This window comes from Homo sapiens, chromosome 2 (genome assembly GCF_000001405.40).
Source record: "Homo sapiens chromosome 2, GRCh38.p14 Primary Assembly".
Taxonomy (NCBI): Eukaryota; Metazoa; Chordata; class Mammalia; order Primates; family Hominidae; genus Homo; species Homo sapiens.
The window spans coordinates 220,648,207-220,653,649 of NC_000002.12; the positions used below are offsets into that span (position 1 = coordinate 220,648,207).

Genomic DNA, 5,443 nt, shown 5'->3' on the forward strand with positions numbered 1-5,443 from the left:
TGGAGCTGAGAGGTAATAAATTAGTAACAAAACAGAGATTCAGTGGCTAAAAGTAAATAAGAACCCTACTTGATGTCAGGTTTACTTGGTAATGTTCCTGCCCTGACCTTGGCCTTCATTTCCATTATCTGTGCCTATCAGAAGAGGCATTGCCCTCTGCCCTTGGATCTTGCTGTCATCTCTGGATTTTACTGTAGTTCTCAGGCCCCGGGTATATATTTTTCATATTCTTCCTAATCCCCTAATCTTGGGGCAGAAGATCTGCCCTGCTGTTCTTGCATTCTTCTGCTGAAGCCTACCTGGCATCCAGCTTAACATCTGTCTCACCCTTGCTGATGGACTTCCTGGCACTAGACTACCTGCCTACCAGTCTGAGTTCCTAAGTACTGCTGCCCTGGATTCTCCTCTGCTTTCTACCACTGCAGCAGGGACCACCCTCTCACCATCTATTCCACCTGCCCCAGGACAGCAGAAGCTGCCATGTGCCAGAGGAAAGAGCCCAGGCTCTGGCTTTACCTCTGCTTGCTCCATAGCAGGGTTGTTGTGAGGAATAAAAGGAAGAACAATTTGAAATCCAAAGCATAAACCACCTAAGCAATGACTGGCACATAGCAAGTGCTCGAGTCACTTTAGTTTCCTTTCATCCCAAAGGGCAGCTCCCAATCCTGCTGTGAGCATCTCGTAGCTGGCCCCATCCTCTGGTAAACCCCAGTTCATGGCCAGTGTTTCCAAAAATAAATATAACAACAGCAGCAACAACAATGCTTGCTATTTATTGAGCCCTTATTATTTTCCAAGGGTTGATAAGCATTAACTCATTCTAACATTAAAATAGCCTTTTATGGAGATGGCATCAATGTCTTTCAATAAATGAAGCTCAAAGACTTTAACTCATCCAAAGTCACCCATCTACTGAAGAATGGTGCTGGGGCTCTAGGTCACATATCACAGATTCTGCTTTTGATGCTCTTAACCAAAGGTGCCTCCTAAGATAGAATATCAAGAGCTGATTAGCTCTCCTGGCTCTGAGCAAGTGCTCAGGTCTCATACTGGGCATCTTCTGGGAAAGGCACTAAACCCTAGTGCTTCAAAATGTTATTTGGGGATAATGATACTTATCATTCTCAACACAATATAATAAAGATTAATTAGTGGATGTTGGTAAAGCACTTTGAAGGGGAGTGATTTAGGCATAATCACAAGTCTTACCTCTCATTGATCTTGAGCATCCTTTTTATTTAGTATTGATTCATTGTTATTGACCCAGCTTGATGGCTATTAATCAGGCCGGCTCAGGTTTTACCATTTCCAAATACATTTCTGCAAATTGGTAGTATAAGTTATTTTTGTCATAATGCATCCAGGCTTCCAACTGTCATTTTAACTGAGAATTTGAAAGGTTGAATTAATTCAACCTTCAATGACAGTTTTTTCATACTTTTATTATAGCTATTAATACATGGTATCATAATTTATTGCATATGTGTCATCTGAGGCTTCTCCATTTGAACTCCTTAGAGAGAGGATTATAATTTCTTAGTTATCACCAAATGAAATGGCTCCAGTAAGTGCCAAACATGATATCTAACATCTACTTCAGCTAAATATTAGTTGAATGGACGGGATTGTCTAAAACAGTTTAGTGTACTTGAGGCAGATTATGTTGAGATTGGGTTTAAGGACAAACACTTAAAGATGATTAAAACTTTTAGGTGGTTAAATTACCCAGTTTATTTTCTCTCCCCACCTGTTATATACTACACTTGCTCAGTAGCTACCATGGCCATCTTTGCAATCACCTTGATTTTCAACTTCTGTTTTTTGCTAGAACCTATATAGAAACAGCACAAGACAAGAATTCTGAACAGTTGTTTTTTCCTTCCAGGAAGGAAGCATTGATGCTAGAGATGCAGTGTTTGCTAAATGCATACCAGTGCTAGACATAGAGCTGTACACAATGATTAGGTGAGATACTGTCATTTACCCAGGCATTGTAGGAAAGCAAACTGAGGCTCATGAAGATCAGGTACCTTGTCTCAGTCACACAGCTAGGAAGTAGAAGCTTCTGGACTTGAAACCAGATTTTGACTGGCTTTAACTCTTGTAGCTTTCAGCCACAACATAACTCCTTCCAGGGTTGGTAATCAATCATCCCTCTCCCCTTTCTCATCAGAGAAAACGTTTCAGCAAATATTTAATCAATACTAACAATATGGGATTCTGCAAGTAATTCATTACCACTTATTTTCATTTTATTTTACAGCTTGATCATAACAAAAATAGAACAGACAGAGGGCTGTTGTGCTGGTGCTGAGAGAGGCTCTGAACAGGCAGGAGAGATTGAGCAAAACTGGATAACTCTAGCAGACAGCAGATGCTGAATGGGATTGGCTGTCTAGGCTCAATCCCAGGGAACTGATAAGACAGAACCGTGTGTTCAGGGAGAGTGATAAGAAAGAACTGGGTCAATCTCAGAAACATTTGCAGAGTTCAGGTGTTGAAGAAAGAGACATGAGCTCTCCCTTTTGTATTAGTGGACTGTTGAAGTGAAGCCCCTGAAACCAATTTTGCACTGCACAGTGTGACCTTGGAGCAGGCATAGCCCTATGGTGACTGCAGAGAAGAGGATATGAGAATCTCATTGTAAATATAATCACCCTGTCCTGTACTTGGTAGCTCCTGGTCTTCTAAGGTTGCATCTCTTTCTCCTCTTCCTTCTCATTTCTGCACCGCCTTTCAGTCCTGCTCACTCCACCTTCCCCACCAGCAGTTCCAGCCACCATGGAAGTGAGCCCCACTGCAAGGAATACTCAGTAGAAAGACAGTGTTTGGACCAGAGACGTGGTATTTTTTTCTCTTACTATCCTGAACCCTCTGGCAAGCAGGAAGAAAAGATGAAAAGAGAAGAAGAAGGCAGCAAGGTTGTGGCTGAGGTGGTTTTCAGCATCCATCTGAATTGGAGAGGCTAATCTGTGTAGCCTGTGATCAACCTCTCCACCAATACTGTCAGCACCAGGTAGGGGGAGGTGAAAATACTGGAATTTCAGCACAAGAAGAAGCTCTGTCTCCATGTTAGTAATGCAAAAATGAAGCAGAACATAACCATAGATCATGGAATCTTTAGGACCCTCAGAGACCTGAGGACCACCTTACCATGACTCATCAGGTTGGGAGACTGGGGGACAGTGCATTGTCAGAGAGCCCACATTCAGAGGTGGGATGCTTAATTCATCCTTCGATGCATTCATCACATAGTTTTAAGTATCTACTACATACCAAGCTGTGTGTTATATATAATGTATGAAGTATTGAACAAAACAGATTCAGACTTGCCCTACAGGAGTCTACACTTCAATGGAAAGGAAAAAGCAAGACTCGAACTCTTCTGCTTACTCCCACTGGATGCTCCCTCCTGAAGACCTCAGCATGAATCAGGACTGGAGGCTGTTCTGCTTTCTTCTCTTGGTCGGTGCCTCTAGGCTTACATCTCCCAGAGAAGCTCAAAGAGACGTTTGACTTTTCTAGGTAAGATTCCTATGCTGAGAGGGAAGAAGGAAGCCGGGAAAGAGAAACAGAGAGAAAGAACATATTGTTTCTCCACAGTTGAATGGACTCCAGAGACAGTATTTCTGCAGCAGCACAGAATCCCCTGGTCCTCATTTGCCCTGCAGTATCTCACTGGAGATGGGTTCCACAGGGTCAGACAATCCCTGTCCAGCATAGTCCTGAGCCTCCTGGGACAGCCCTGTCTCTCCGATGACATCTGTTTCTTCTTGTCCCATGGCTGGTAAACTATTTCCCTAGATCTGTAAATGTGGGTGATTCATATAGTTAGCCATTGTTCCAATGAACCTGGGACAATTTCTGCCTCTTTCTATTATTATCTCATATCATGAGTCCAATTTGATTGAAGCTTATAGGACATTGAAAAATGCATATATAGGATGGTTGCGGTGGCTCATGCCTGTAATCTCAGCACTATGAGAAGCCAAGGTGAGCAGATCAATTGAAGCCAGGAGTTCGCAATCAGCCTGGGAAGCATGGTGAAACCCTGTCTCTACTAAAACTTAGCACAGCATGGTGGGGCGTGCCTTTAACCCCAACGACTCGGGAGACTGAGGTGGGAGGATCACTTGAACCTGGGAGGTGAAGGTTGCAGTGAGCTGAGATCTCACCACTGCACTCCAGCCTGGGTGACAGAGCAAGACTGTCTCCAAAAAAAAAAAAAAAAGCATGTATATATATATATATATATATATATACACACACACACACAATTATATACATAATTTATACGTGTATATATATAAAGTATATACTTGTATATATATAAAGTACCTTAGCAAAAGAGACACTGGCCCATGCCAAATTCCTCCCTTATTTTTACAAATATGTCAAAGACATTTGTGAAAAGAATCCCCTTCCTTAGGCTTTAAAAATAAAACCTGACAACATGCATTGACCACTCTCAGAGTTACAAATTCATAAAAGATTCAAAGACTACAGCTCTCCTAAGAGGAATAACTTTATAGGGAAAGAAAGGAATGAAACTGGAGAAATCTGTGATTCCTAGCTCCAAAATGACCCCCAGGACCTTCAGACTACCTTGGCATCTGTTTATGTTGCTGAACAAGAAAATGCAAACACGAGTGGGACTGGATGTTTCATAACTCCTTCAACTTAACCTGAGCTTCAGTTGGCCCAATGATACTATAGCATTTTGGGCTCTAAAAAGACAATCCAAACTGGTGGTAGTGCTAAAATAAAGATTTACTCTCAATCATTGCCAAACAGATTAAATAACATAGATGTTACTTTGTTTCATTCTATTTTTTATGACTTGAACTATTACAAGTGTACCCCATCCAGCTCCATAATTGCCTAGCAGATTGTTGAAGGGTGGTTTTGTATTTCTGCAGATGGTGCCACCTACAGCAGTCCTTCAGTTGTTGTTTACTCTGCCAGTAGCCTTGGTCATGATCTTCTAATAGCTCATTTAGGAGAGAAGAGGGAACCATGTGGCATTTCTGTTCACAGTTCACTCACAATCAGCAGCCAATGTTATATTGTCATGGATACAGTGGTGCAAGGGGTGGACAACTGCTGATTATGCCAAATTCATTTCCAAGTTATTGCTCAGATACCTAGTGAAGAATAGAGATATACAGTATATGTGGCAAAAACGTATTAAAATGATCACAACAAAAGCCTGTTTATCAAATATTCAAGGCTGCCATAATTATTGAGGGATAGTTTCATTTAATATTATAGAAAAACTTGTTAAGATAGAGCCAGAGCTGAATTTAATTGAAGTGTCTAAAAATGGCTGTAATTGTGTTTCTAGGTTACTGTTATCCCTATATGTGCTGTGAATGGGTTATCAGAGCTTTCATTGCTTTAAACTTTTTTTAAAGATAATATGCAAAACTCAAAAAGTTCTTTT

General features: G+C 41.2%; 1 annotated feature.

Annotated features, from left to right (window-relative positions):
* Positions 463–757: a silencer, noted in NCBI's record as "tiled region #1258; HepG2 Repressive non-DNase unmatched - State 24:Quies". NCBI's record gives its function as "represses a minimal TATA promoter and a strong SV40 promoter by Sharpr-MPRA in HepG2 cells {active_cell/tissue: HepG2}" and the evidence as "EXISTENCE:reporter gene assay evidence [ECO:0000049][PMID:27701403]".